This window comes from Homo sapiens, chromosome 5, assembly GCF_000001405.40.
Source record: "Homo sapiens chromosome 5, GRCh38.p14 Primary Assembly".
In the NCBI taxonomy this organism is placed as follows: Eukaryota; Metazoa; Chordata; class Mammalia; order Primates; family Hominidae; genus Homo; species Homo sapiens.
In genome coordinates, this window is record NC_000005.10 from 174,148,743 (window position 1) to 174,164,259 (window position 15,517).

Sequence of the window (15,517 nt, forward strand, 5' to 3'; positions counted from 1 at the left end):
CACTATCTATGTGGGGTTCACCCCTCTCCTAGTCACTCTCTGTCACATCACCCTATTTTATTAATTGGTAACATTTATTTTCCTGTTTATTATTTTTCCTCCCCATGATACTGTAATCTCTATGAAAGCAGGAATTAGTCCTGTTTATAGCACCTGGAACAATGCCAGGCACTGTGCTGGCAGGGCTGATACACTGCAAACCCCAGGGAGCACAATTCATCCCAAAGTTTGCATGAAGGATGCTCTGGAATAGAGCAGCGCACAACTTACGTAGCTGTACATGGAAGACCTGAGGACACAGTTGTGAGCAAGATAGAAACAGTTCCTGATCTCACAGAGGTTTCAAGGGCTTAGCTCAACAATTTGAGCCTTTTATAAGAGTAAGTGCCAGATACTGTCATACAATTCACATTTTTCCTAACAAAAGCCACCATTTTACAGATTATGAAATTTTACATTTTACAGAATATGAAACTGAGGCTCAAAGAAGTAAAATGATCTACCTTAAGCTTACCCACCTGGTAAGAGGCAGAACCAGGACACAGACACACTTCAATCTGGTAGCAAAGTCTAGGTCCTCAGAGATGCATGATACAGATGGTCCCTGTCCCATGGAGCTCTCTGTCTTCTTGGGACAAGGACCTAGTATTTATTGTGCACTTAGCATGTGCCTATCATGATGACAAACAGTTATGTGTATTTTTTCTTCTCATGTTTAAAATCTCACATCAATTGGAGATAGAGACTCAAAGAGGAAAAGAGGCTTCCCCAGAGTCGCAGATGTGGAGTCAGAGCCTGGGACGGGGACCAAAAATCGTCTGAGTCTCAAGTTCTTTCCACTTCATGGCACTGACCAGGAATGATGGTAGTTGAATGTGGCAGCTGCTGTAATTGAGGAATGAACTGGATGCTGAGGAGGGGAGAGGAGAATGTTTTGCTCTGTTCAGAGAGGGACAAGGGTCACCAAGAATGGCCTGGAAGCAGAAGCAGGAAGAGTTCCCAGCAAGCCAGGGCATCTCAGAGGGTGGGCCTGGAGAACTGAACTCCATACTTGGGGCCATCACCAGAAGTGGCCCTGGGGCCATAACCCTGGCCTCTTGACCCTTTCCCTAGCCCAGAACCCTGGATGATTTTGACTTTCTTCTCTCCCACCCTGACGACCAACGGAGACATTCGCTAGACATCAGATAGAATTCAAAGGGAGGGTGATTTTCCCGTTGAACTTAGCCACACTAAAAATTGCTGGTGAACTAAAAGAAATGCAAAAATGGACCCAGTTTTTCTAGATGTTCCATCATCTAAATGAAGATCCCTGAAATGTCAGTGGCTTGAGAGAAAGGGGTTACTTGGAAGACTCAGCCTCCAAAGGTCTTAACTGCATGTCAAGATTGCTCTCCTGAGAGATTGTAGGTTTCATGCTGGGATTCCTCCCCTAATGAGATTTTTAATCATCCCCTCCACAGAAGCCCCAGCTGCCTTCCTCCATCCGTCTCAACAAATGGCACCATCTTCCCCCTTTTGCTTATAACCGGGAGCTGGGAGTATTCACGTCTCTTTCATCCAGCATATTCCCCGCATCCGCCTAATCACCAAGTTCTGTTAATTCTGTCTCCCCATAAATCCCAGGCCTGTGCACGGCCCTCCACTTCCCAGGTGTGCCTACCCACAAGGTTTTTTCCAGCATGTGATGCAGCTGATACACAGCTAGCTGTAATTCCAGGAGGGCACTTCTGTAAGGGAGCTGTGGGTGTGAGGAGGAGAGAACCACTAGCTCTTTCTGGACTGGGACAAAAGGGTGACATTGGAGCTGAGCCTAGAAGGCTGGCTGAGGAGGTGGTCACAAAGCCTACAAAAGAACTGCTGACCAAGGGCCTCAGGAAGTTCTGGAATGTGCTCAGGGGCTCTGGAAGGGCAGTTTTCCAACGGACCTTTTAGTGTTCAGTTCTACAAACAGAACCGACCCCATCCCAGGTGCCATCTACCCCAACTCAATGCCTTTGCCCTGGGCAGGCAGAGATGGCACAGTCTGAATAGGGCTTGACAAAAGGGAAGAGGGGATGAGGGATGCTCCAATTTTTGCATCTGTACAGTGGATGGAATCACCCTCCCCATCAGATCTGTGAGAGGGTTAATTAGGGTCATGGCTGACTGCAGCCTGCCATGGGAGGGGAGGACAGGGAGGGGACAGAGCTAGAACTCAGGGCCAGGGTGTATGTATAGCAGGCTTTCCCTACCGTGGGGGGGGTGGTGGGCTTGGGAGTCTGACTGCTGGGACTCGAATCCCTCCCACCATTGACTAGTGGGGCCCTCAGGTGAATTGATTATCCTGATGTGCCCCACCATTTGTCAAGTCATATACAGCAAATGATCAAATTTATTAGTCACCCTAGGGAAAGAAGATGAGTTTGCTCATAGTTGGGGACTGACTATGTCCAGTGCTGAGGGCATCAAGGCTATCTCAGCACACACCTCATCCAATAGGAGCACCTTGCGGGGAAGCATAACATAACCTCTGTGAGCCCCAATTTTCTTATCTGTATAATGGAGATGATGATAAAAATAGCACTATTCTAGAGTTGTGGTGGGGATAAAATGAGAAAATCAGGCCTGGCATGGTGGCTTATGCCTATAATCCCAGCACTCTGGGAGGTCGAGGTGGGTGGATCACGAGGTCAGCAGTTCGAGACCAGCCTGACCAACATAGTGAAACCCCGTCTCTACTAAAAATACAAAAATTAGCCAGGCGTGGTGAAACACAACTATAATTCCAGCTACTCAGGAGGCTGAGGCAGGAGAATTGTTTGCACCCAGGAGGTGGAGGTTGCAGTGAGCAGAGATCGTGCTACTGCACTCCAGCCTGGGTTACAGAGCAAGAATCTGTCTCAAAAAAAAAAAAAAAAAAAAAAGAAAGAAAGAGAGAGAGAGAGAAAATTGATGCCAAGTGCTTCCTCCATAAGAAGAACTCAATGCACATTCACTATTCTTCTTGTCTATTCTCTCCCCTTGCTTTGCTACTGAAACCAGTCCATTTCCTGCCCTGCTCTGCCTTCAGTCAGCTGCTGATGACTCCCAAGAGTGCCCTCACCAAATGACCCAGCCTCTCTCTGTTTCAGGGAATGACAGAATGTGACTTCTGGTTCATGCATCCATCTCTGGCAAGTCTGACAGATTCTGAGCCCAGTCAACTCCAGGGGCCCTCGCCAAGTTGTATTTCTGGTCTGGCCAAGCTGAGGCATAGCTCTTGACCACGGTGGTTACATCAAGCATGGAGGGAGATACACACGTGCACCCACATACACATGTGTACATACACACATGGGAATGGCAGAGAGAAATACACACATGCTTACATACAGTGGGGAGAGAGAAAAGTGAGATTATTTACTAAGTGGTAGACTCTGTACATGATCTTACTTGATTCTTACAATAATCATGTGGGGTTGCTACTATTATTAACACTGTTTTATTAATAGATGTGGAAGCTGAAACTGTGCTAGGGAAAGCTACTTGCCTTTAATCACACAGCTGCCAAGAGACAAAGAGAGTTGACACCCACATCTGTGTGGCTTCTGAATTGCGGGGTTATCCATCTATCTATCCATATGTCCATCCATCCATCCATCCACCCTTCCATCCATCCATCCATCCATCCATCCATCCATCCATCCATCCATCCTCCATCCATCCAACATTAACCAAAGCCATGCCAGTGCCCATAAACCCTTGGTGAAGGGGCCTCTGTTTCTCCCTCACCTCCTCCACTCGTACCTTTCCTTCTTGGGCTAAAGCTGCTCAGCTTCTTTCTGGTTCCTCCAAGGGGCCCCTCAATTCCCTGTCTCAGAGACTTCATCTAGGCTGTGCTGCCTGACAGAAGCACACTTCACCTAGCTGATGGCTTCTCCTATTTCAGGTTCCAGCTTCCGTGTCCACTCTCAGAGAGGCCACCCTGATTACCCTTTCTAAAGTAGGTGCTTTCTCATTATTTCTGTCACCAAATCAGGTTAACTTTCTTCCCAGCTATTGTCACAGCAGCAATTAAGTTTAATAATTTAATATTCAGTAATAACAATATGAATGAACACTTACTGAGTGCTTGCTGTGTGTCAGACACTGTTGGTTACTCCATGTAGACCTCATAACAGCCTGATGGTTATTATCATCTCCATTTTATAGAGGAAGAAATGAGGCTCTGAGAACTTACCTTCATTCATTTGTTTACGAGATTATTATTCTTCTTTCCAGCTATACTGTAATCTTCATGAAGGCACAGCTGTTGACTAGCCCACAATAGGTGCAGATCACATATTTGTTGAAAGAATGAATTCCAGGCTCTGTGGGAGAGTTGGAGAAAAATGAGACATGACAGGCTTAGGAAGAGAGAAAAATGGTCTCAGAACCACACAGCCAGTACTGTAAAAGGAACCTGTATAACATATCAATGGAGTCCAGAGAGGGAAAGATTCACGATGTCAGGGGGGATCTTGCAGGGCCTTACAGAAGACAAAAAATTTGAGCTGGATTACAAAAAAACTTTAGTGAGTTATAATTTATGTACAATACATTGCACCCATTAAAAAATGTAAAATTCAATGAGTTTTGACAGAATTATACAGCCATGAATATACATACAGTAACATTCACCTGTTTTAGTACACAGTTCTGCAAATTTTAACAAATGTATATAATTATATAATGCTGCTAAGATTATCAAGATAGACAAGCAAGATATAGAACAGTTCCATTAATCACTCCTCAAATTCCTCCATCCTTCTTGTAGTCAATCTGTGTCCCACCCTCAGCCCCTGGAAACTATGAATGTGTTTTCTGTCCTTATAGGTTTTGTATTTTCCAGGATAACATGTAAATAGAATTATACGGTATATAGCCTTATGAGTCTAGCTTCTTTCAGTTAGCATTATAAATTTAAGATTCATTCATGCTGTGGAATCTCAACCATCTATCAATAGTTAGCTGTTTTTTATTTCTGAGTAGTATTTCACTGTATGGACATCTCAGAGTTTGTTCATTCACTCACCAGTTGAAGAATATTTAGGGTTGTGTCTAGATTTTGTTGATTGAAAATAAAGCCACTAAGGCATTTACACACACATTTCATTTCACTTATGTAAATACCTAGAAATAAATTGGCTGGGTCCTGTGATGAGTGTATGTTTGACTTTATAGGAAGCTACCGACCTATTTTCACAGTGACTGTGACATTTCACATTCTTATCAGTAATATGTAAGAATTCCAGTTGTTCCTCATCTGCACCAATATTTAGTATTATTGTAAGTTCACAATATTTTTAATGTTATATTCTAATAGGTGTGTGGTGGTATCTCATTTTGGCTTTAATTTGCATTCCCCTTATGTAAATTCTTACATGCTTTTTCTTGGATTATTTGTTTTCTTATCAGTGAATTTTGAGAGTTGTTTAGATATTCTGAATACAAGTTCCTCATCAGATATGTGATTTGCAAATAATTTTTTCCAATCTGTGGCTTGTCTTTTAATTCTTTTAATAGTTTTAAAGAGTAGAAGTATCTATCTTCTAAAATTATGTTGCTCAATTCTCAATATTAAATTGTTTGTAGTAGAAGGACCTTACTACAGTATACTCCCAATTCTTCTCTCCCATCCTTTGTGCTACTGTTGCTGTAAATTTTACTTTTATACATATTATAAACACACAATACATTGCTACTCTTGTTGCTCTAGTCAGTTGTCATTTGATGCAGGTAAAAATAAAAAAAAAACCTGATTTTTATATTTAACTTTGTTTCTACTTCCAGTGTTTGTTCATTTTGTTTTGTTGTAGCTCCAAATTTCTGTCTGGTATCGTATTTCTTCTGCCTGATGAAGTTCTTTTAACTATTTTTTGGTAATGTAAGTCACCCAGCTGTGAGTTCTCTCTCCTTTTGTTTGTCTGAAAAACCTTATTTTTCTTTCATTTTTGAAAAATATATTTGCTGGGTATAAAATTCTGTGTTGACAGCATTTTTATTTCAGCTCTTTTTAACACCACCCCATTATCTTCTGGATTGCATAGTTTCTATTGAGAAGTCTGCAATGAGTTATTCTTATCTCTTTCCTCTCTAGCTACCATACATAAATTGCCTTTTTCTTGTTCATTTGTTTAGTTTTGTTTACTTGTTTAATTTGGTTACTCAGGTTTTTCTCAGAATACACATTGTCTTTTTCTTAAGTTTTTAGCAGTTTGAATACAGTATGCCTAGTGTCTGGATGTGATAAATTCAAGAAAAACATTTTTTTTTCAGGTTGCCTAAAATTTTGTTGTTTTTATAAAGGTGAGAGAAATGTTCTTTCTAGCTTTATGAATTCTAAGCTAAAGCTATAAGTTCATCATTACCTAACAAGTGTATTTTAGATTTCAGACATGCTATTTTTCAGGTGTTGATTTTCCATTTGGTAAACACGCACATACAGACACATCTATTTCTCTGATCGTGTTCCCTATCTTTTTATTCATTGGTATATTTTCTTCACCTCCCTGAGCAAAATTAGAATTTTAAAAAATAATGAAAACATCAGAGTCATCTTGTGGTTTACCATTGTTGATTTTTCTTTTCTATTGCAAAAGAGTCAAATTTTCCTAGTTCTTCATATGGTGAGTTATTTTGATTTTATCCTGAACATTTTGATTATTATGGAATAATAAACTCTGGAATATAACAGGAACTCTGGCTTTCTTTTATACTCCCCCCAAGAATGTTAATGTTTTTGTTTTAGCAGACAGTTAGATTCCAACTGTGGTCTCTCGCTTGCATGCAGTGGATGGTAGCTGGATTCCCAAGATAAATTCCCAGATAAATTCCCAGATCTGGATTTAATCCTTATTTGGGCTACTTTGAGTGTGTCCCATGCATACATGGTTCAGGGGGTTGGCCAGATACTTGGACAAAGTTTATACATTGAACCTGGGTCTCCCCATTCTCTATGTCTTTCCTTTCCTGGATCCTCAATCCCTTCCTTAGTTTCTGGTGGCTGTGGCCATGCTAACCTCTATCCTCTTTTACTGCAGAAAGATTATATGTTTCCTATCAGAGCTTCAGCGCCTTACACCACTCTGAGATTACAGCCCTCCCTCAGACAAAGCTGCAAAACTGGGAACTCACCCGATTCCAGTCCTTTCAGCATTTTGGCTTCCCTCCAAAATTTGCCTGCTTTTAATTACTCTCTAGAGTCTTTAATGTAGTTGCTTTTTATATTCTGTCCATAGTTTATAGTTATTATTTCTGGGAGGATTGATGTCTGCTAGGACTTAACTCACCATACTGTAAGCAAAATTCCACGCTCATTCTTAAAGAAAAAGTAGTTCTTTTTGCAGAAAGTATGGGCAAGGGCCTCTAAGGCAAAAAGATCAGCATGACAAAGGCATGAAAACAGTGTGATAAGCTCAGGCTTCTCTTATGATATCTTTCCTTCAAATAAATATACAAGAGAAAATGCTTGCAAACAGATACAGCTACAGTTTCTGGCATCTCAACAGCCTGCCTTTTCCCCTTGAGAGAAGAACTGAGATAATGAGGGCTTTAAATTCATCTTTCTGAATATAGACCAAATCTTACTGCCTATGTTGTCTTCCACACAGTCCCTCAGCTAGAAGCCCTGAAGGGCAATGACACACTTTGGACCCATTGTTGGAGATGAGGTCAGGAAACTTATTTCTGGCATTTGGATATTGTCAAAAGGAATATATCTTTTCCTGTCTCTTTAAAATGCCTTGCCGATTTTTGTGACACATCCATAAATTTATCTAGAAACAGATTGGCAGCAAGCTCAGTGTCAATTATTTAGAATGTGTGCCCCTTTGGACCCCTCTTTTGCTCATCTCTTCGCCCACCCCGGCATGGCACATGTGTCAGGAAAGCAATCTGCACGTGAATCAATGCTGTGGGCCGGGACTGTCTACACTGTGGTCAAAGGCTACTACATTTGATTCCTAGGAAGCTCATAAATGTGCCATTGCGGAGTGAAAAGAAGAAATACACGATAATGTATTCCATCTGAGCCATGCATTTTTTTTCTGACATCAGTTAAAATAATTTCTGAAAACTACATTTTTAATGGGCAAAAACTTAACTATTATTTATGCTCACTTAAAAAAGTAAAAGAATAAGTAAACCTAGATGGTTTTTCCCCGCTACACACATCTACCCGCAGTATTGGCAAAGAGTGAAATCAGAATGGATTCACAAAAGATGAATATGATGCTTTATTTATGGAAGAATTGCCTGATATTGCTTTTACCAATTAGGATTGACCAGGAAACAAATGTTTCTTTGTGAGTTGCTTCTTTTAAAGGAAGCTCTTTTCCTTCTTTAACCTCTTTCTGGGACAGCTGACGCTGAGGCTGCAGTGGCCTGTGTGGGTGAGAAGCTCCGCTTTTGCCCCTGCTCCTTCAGTGGGAGGGAGGAGGTGGTCTCTAGTCCTGAGGGCAGGACACTCAGACCTGCCTTTCCTCTGCTTTGGGCCTCTGTGGAGGTTGCTCCACTCAGGAAAGCGCACCCTATGGGCAGTGGAGGGATGAGCATGGGGATACTGGGGCCACTCGCATTCTCAGCTGTGCCCATCTGAGCCAGCAGGTCCTTGGACAGGATGCCAGGGCCCCTCCACAATCTGGCTCCCAGCGACCTTCTAGAGCTCTTGTATCACTACTCTTGCTCCTACATCACCCAAACACACCTGGACCTCAGGACCTTTGCATGTGCTGTTTTCTCTGGCTGGACCACATGTCTCACTCCCTCGTTTCCTTCCATCTACTGTCGGGTCCTTAGAGAAGTCCTCTCTGGCCACAGTCTCTGCCCTTCCCAGCTTTATTTACCTCTGAGCATCTCCTGACATTTTATATTTTTGTTTGTTCGTTGTGTATCCCTCCCCACGGGAATGCCAGCTACCTGAGAATAGGGACTTTGTTTTGTTCACTGCTATATCCCTTGCCTTTTGAACAGTGCCTGGTACATGACAAGCATTCAAAAAATTTGTTGAATGAATGAATAAAGTGTGACTTGCCATGTGTCTTGATTGCTCTCGTTCTTAGTTTCCTCATCTTTAAAATGGGAACAGTGTAAATTAGTTCAACCATTGTAGAAAGCAGTATGGCAGTTCCTCAAGGAGCTAAAAGCAGAACTACCATTCAACCCAGCATTCCCATTACTGGGTAGATACCCAAAAGAATATACATCATTCCACCATAAAGACACTTGCACACAAATGGTCACTGCAGCACTATTCACAATAGAAAAGACATGAAATTAACCTAAATGCCCATCGGTGGCAGACTGGATAAAGAAATTGTGGTAAATATACACCATGGAATACTATGCAGTTGTTAAAAAGAATGAGATCATGTCTTTTGCAGGAACATGGATGGAGCTGGAGGATATTATTCTTAGCCAACTAACGCAGGAACAGAAAACCAAATATGACATGTTCTCACTTATAAGTGGTAGCTAAATGATGAGAACACATGGACACAAAGAAGGGAACAACAGAGATTGGAGTCTACTTGAGGGTTGAGGGTGGAGGGTGGGAGAAGAGAGAGGAGAAAAAAAGATAACTATTGGGTACTGGGCTTAATACCTGGGTGATGAAATAATCTATACAACAAACCCTTGTGACATGAGTTTACCTATGTAACAGACCTTCACATGTACCCCCAAACCTAAAAAAAAGTTAAAAAAATAAAATGGGATTAGTGGCACTTACCTCACAAGTTGTTATGGGAATATGAGTTATGTTACTATATAGAATGGGGAGAATTCCATAAAACAAATAATATGAGTAAAACAGCTTTAACTCTTTGAGTGAATATATGTGCTGGGCATCGCTGTGTTACAGATGCATTTTACTGTGCACTCGCCGTGCAATGGAAAGGGTGCTGGCATCTTATGTGGATGGTCTTATCTGTGAGCAACACTGGCCCTCAGCTGGCCTACTCAGGGCCAGTTCCGATCGGCCCAACAGCCATCCTGATTAGTTGAAGGTCCTACTGAAAATGAGCTGTGAAGTATTTATCTCCAGTCCTGTGAAGGAGCTAAATGCTATTAACCCCTGAGTTTGATAATTGAGGAGACTCAGAGGTGAACTGCCTCACTCTCTGTTACATAGTAAATCCGGTGTGGAGTCAGGGTTTAAAGCAGCTCCATCACACTCCATCCATCCATCCATCCATCCATCCACCCACCCACCCACCCATCCATCCGTCCATCCACCCAACCATCCATCCATCCACCCACCGACCCATCCATCCATCCACCCAACCATCCATCCATCCAACCATCCATCCACCCAACCATCCATCCATCCATCCATCCATCCATCCATCCATCCATCCATCCATCTACCCATCCATCCTTCATTCAACAAATATTTTTTGAATACCTACCATGTACCAGGCAGTATTTAAAGAATATAGCAGAGAACAAAATGAAGTTTCTTCCCTCATGGAGCTCACATTCTTCTTGAGAAACACATGATGAACAAGTAAAAACATATTACGTCAGGTGGTGACAAGTGCTCTGTCTTGGAGGCCAGAGCAGGGCAGGAGGGTGGGTCCCAGAGCGGCAGCTGGTGGCAGCAGCCAGATGGGTGTGAAGCTTCAACACAGGGACTGGAGACCCCATGCAATGTTGCCCAGGGCCAACTCCAGGCCTGGGCTAACCGACAAGGCAGCCGTTTGTTCAGTGAGGTTGTACTGGCTCCGGGGATTGTTACCTCCCTCAAAATTTGTCTCTTGGAGTGGGAGTCCCCTGGAGAGGAATTGTCCTCAGCCACATGACCCCAGGGATGCTAATGTCCTCTGCCCATAAAGTCTGCAGAATGGGGCTTTCTGGTTTGTGGAGGGCTCCCAGTCCTGGGGCCTCAGTGACCAAGAGGCTGGGTGGCAGCTGGGGGCGGAGCATGGGCTGGAACGTACTGAAAAGTAGAGGATCACAGTGAGAGTGAGTGTCCAAGCTGCGATGCTTTTAGGAAGGTGGGAGGGGCAGGGCGTGGACAGGAATTTGAAGAGTCCTGCCCCATTAGTCACACATCCTGTGTGTCCTTTGGTGAGGCAACTGGCCAGCAACTCAGCAGGCTTTCTAGAACCTTCTCCAGGGCACCAGGGAGACAAAGTGGACAAAACCCAGGCCCTGCCCTCAGGCTCTCCCAGTTTAGCTGGGCTTCCTCCTGTCAATGGTGGCTTTGTCCAGGGGCCAGAAGGGAGGTGTGGGGGGCTCCCCTGCCTGCTCTCCCTCCCCAGCCTCTGAAAGCTGTCTCGCCTCCTGCTTCCTGCCTGGGAAAGTTCAATAAAAACTTGAAGTTTCAGCTTAAGAATCACCACCTTGATTAGTGACCTGCTCCAGCCAAGTGACCTGGTTAGAGACCTCCCTCCTTTGCGCCTCCATAGAGAGGCGGCATTTCAGAGCGTGAGCTTTGGAGTCAGACACACCTGTTCAAATCAGTGAACACTGATCACTGCCATGTGGTTCAGGTAAATCTTGTCACTCTGATTTTTCTCTTCTGTAAATGCCGATAGAGAATACCATCTTCAAAGTGTTGTTGGAAAGATACATGAAATGACTTAGGTACAGGGTCTGGTACAGAGTAGGTGCTTGACATGCCACGAACTACTAATTACCATTATCATCGTGCCTTTATCTTCTTCTGATGCCAGTGCGGGCTCCTTGTCTATCTTCATTTCCAGACTCTGACCTCCATGAGGAAGGGGCCTGGGCCCTGTTTTCTTTTGTGTCCTGGAGTTTACAGAGAGGTGAGCAAGCTGCAGCCCACCTTCTGTTTTTATGAACAACTTTGTGCTAGAACACGGCCACCCCACTTGTTTCCATGTTGTCTATGTCACAAGAGCAGCCTTGAGTTGTTGCAATAGACGCTGTAGAGCTCTCAAGCCTTAAATATTCAGTCTCTTGTCATTTACAGAAGAAGAACAATCTAACACCTAATAGATGTTCATAAATACTTCTTCCAAGAACCAGCAGATGAATAGGTGCCGCACAACTGTGTCATGGACTGTGGTAATGCGTTAGCTCAATTGGAATATTCCTCTTGTTAGTTTTTTTTGGGGGGTGGGGAGGGGGAGTAGGTTGGCTCTCTCCCCCTTGAGCTAACTTATATTTAAAGCTGACACCCTGATTATTAACTTCATCTGATTGTGGCTGGCTGTGTGGGTGGGTGGTGAAGCCCTGGAGAAAAGAAATGAGAGGGAGAATAAGCAGGGAAGAGGGGAGAGGAGGCACAGAAAGAAGAGACAGAAGCTGCCTCCTTAGCTTTTTCTGGTGCCACTGGCCTTGGTCAGGCCCTCATTAAGTCAAGCCTGGACCTTTGCAGTAGCCCAGCTGACAGCTTGGCATGTGGGAAGCACTCAGCAGATTTGTGTTGAGTGAATGCATGAGATGGCTGTGGACCATCAGAAGGAGTACAGGAGTGGAACCACAGGAGTGGAGCCCAAGGCGGAGTTTAGATTCCAGCTTTATCCAGCAGAGTGACCTCATAGAGGTCAGCTCACCTCTGCTCCAACAGGGACAGGGTTCTTGCTGGCACAGAAGGCACCAAAAGGAAGAAAACTGTCATTTATAGGGCAACAACAATGTGCTGGGCACGGAGGAGGACGTTTTACATCCCTGAACCAATATTCACAACAAGCCAGTGAGGTAGAGACCAGCCAGTTTTACAGCTGAGAAACAGGCCCAGGAAGTTATGCTGATGGCCTTTTCATGTCTCTTTGAGCTTTATGATCTGGGCTTCTCCCAAGATGAAGGGGGAAGAGGAGGTGAATTCCTCAAGTCTAAGAAGTGAACTTCTTAGCTGGACAATCAGTTATAACATAAGGAGAGGAGCTTACAATTTACTAAGAGCATTCTCAATCCATCATCCTCATTCAATAAAATAATCTAAATATATTAAATGTGAATAACGCTACCATTTAGTGAGTGCTTCTTTTGTGCCAGACACCCTGGGACTTGCTTTGACATGTGTTATTTTGCTAACTTCACATGGCCGTGTGAGGGAAATCATTTTAACCCCATTTTACAGATGAGGAAACTAAGACTCTGAAATGTTGAGTGACTTGCCCAAGGTCACACAGCTAGTCAGGGCAAAATGGGGAACTCTCATCTGTATGACTCAGACCACTAAATTAACTGGCTCCCATCCTGCTACTTATTTGTCATTGAAAAGGGCTTCACCAATGAGAACACATGGACACAGGGAGGGGAACAACACACACTGGGGCCTGTTGGGTGGGAGAGAGCATTGGGAAAAATTGCTAATGCATGCAGGGCTTAATACCTATAGGTACTGGATTGACAGGTGCAGCAAACCACCATGGCACATGTTTACCTGTGTAACAAACCTACACATCCTGCACATGTACCCTGGAACTTAAAAAATAAAATAAAAAAGAAAAGGGGTTTACTTTGTTTTGTTTCCAGAAGAAAGGTCACCATTTAGTACTGCGAGGATAGCATGATTGATTACAATAATTATAATACTGTGCAATAGAGTTTTTACCGCTGTTGGGTGCAATGCCACAAACATAGCCCAAGCGTCCTGACTCTTTTGAAAGAGCTGATAATTAGGTTCTTATAATTACACACCCCATTTTCTCAGAGATAGAAAGAAAAAATTGGTTTTGTGAGTTAGAGAGAGAGTTCTTTACCAATGGTCAGAAGTGGCTATTTTAGCAGAACTGGGGAAAATGTGAAATGTAAAAACATGCCTTTGGGAGCTGGGGCATATGGAGTGTATGGCCAATGACTTTGCATCTAGAAGAGTTTTTACGTTTCATGACTCTATAACCAAAATGAGAAAAGATTTAGGCAAGGCTTAATTTTAGATTGGATTTCATTGAATGCAGCTGATGCTAAAGGCAAGTGTTTGATTACAGCATGTACCTGGAGGTGCCCTGGGGTGTGGACTTGGGTGTTGATCTCCCCAACATTGACTCCCCCTTCTTTAGCCAATAGACGGATCTTCATGTGGGACACACCCCCCTTGGACATAAAGAGGGGAACCTGGGACATAACCAACTATTGAGCTCTTCTGTTGCTCCTGGATATCTGGGCAAGTGACCTGACATTTCTAAGCCTCGGGTTCCTAATCTGTACAATAGGCATAGAGATCGTACCTGTACAATAAGATTGCTGTGAGCCTTAAATAAGATAAAAGCTGTCAGTGTTTTATAGAAGTGCTTGGAAATGTTAGCTATTGTCATAACTGTAACTGCTCGTCACGGTTTAGGAAGTTACAGTCTCTGAAAGTGGAAAAACTCAAACTTTGGCAGGGTACTGTGGCTCGTCTATAATCCCAGCACTTTGGGAGGCTGAGGAAGGCAGATCACCTGAGGTCAGGAATTCGAGACCAGCCTGGCCAACATGGTGAAACCCTGTCTCTACTAAAAATACAAAAATTAGCCAGGAGTGGTGGCACATGCCTGTAGTCCCAGCTACTCGGGAGGCTGAGGCAGGAGAATTGCTTGACCTCAGGAGGTGAAGGCCGCAGTGAGCTGATATAGCACCACTGCACTCCAGCCTGGACAACAGAGCAAGACTCTGTCTCAAATAATAATATTAATAATTATAAACCCTCAAACTTTCTCCTCTGCTCTCACACCAAAATGATTATCAACACAGAAGACCTCTGAGACCCAGTGTGTGTGTGTGTGTATTTCTCCCCATCAGCGAACAAGCAATCAGTTCTGCTGCAGACACCAGCTGGGTGTCCTCTAATTCAATTCCGACACTATCAACCTGGAGACAGCATCAGATCCCACGGGTTGAGGGCTCAGTCTCCAAGACTGTCCCCCTACAGACACCAGCTGCAAGTCTGGGCCTCTGGAACTTCCGACAGACTGGCTTCAAGTTGGGTTCCCACAACCCCCTCTTTGGGTTCCATTAACTTGCTAGAACTGCTCACAGAACTCAGGGGAAATCTTACATTTACCAGTTTATCACAAAAGATAATTTAAAGGATATGAATAAACAGCTAAATGAGGAGATACATAGGGCAAAATCTGGAAGGGTCCCAAGTACAGGAGCTTCTGTCCCCATGGAGCTGGGGTGCACCAACTTCCTGGCACATGGATGAGTTCTTGTTCAATGTCCTGTCAGCCTCCACATGTCTATCTATCCAGAAGTTCTCAAAACCCAGTCCTTTTGGATTTTTATGGAGGCTTCATTATGTGGGCAGGATTGATTAAACCAATGGTCATTGTGGAGGATGGAGGGTGGGGCTGAAAGTCCCAACCCTCTAGTCTTGCCTTGGTTTTTCTGGTGACCAGCTCCATCCTGAAGTTACCTAGGGGTGCCCAGCCAAGAGTCAACTCATTAGCAAACAAAACATACCACTTTGGAGTTTCTAAGGATTTTAGGAGTTGTATACCAGGAAACTGGGTCGAAGCCCAAATATATATTTCACGGCATCACAGTCATATTCTTTTTCTGTTTTGCTTGTTGTTGTTGTTGTTGTTGTCGTTTGGTTTGTTTGTTTTGTTTTTTG

The 15,517-nt window shown here is 43.6% G+C and overlaps 1 annotated feature.

Moving 5' to 3' along the window:
• Positions 10,368-10,869: an enhancer, noted in NCBI's record as "H3K4me1 hESC enhancer chr5:173586113-173586614 (GRCh37/hg19 assembly coordinates)". NCBI's record gives its function as "activates a minimal SCP1, AML or CMV promoter by ChIP-STARR-seq in primed H9 embryonic stem cells {active_cell/tissue: H9 hESC(primed)}" and the evidence as "EXISTENCE:reporter gene assay evidence [ECO:0000049][PMID:30033119]".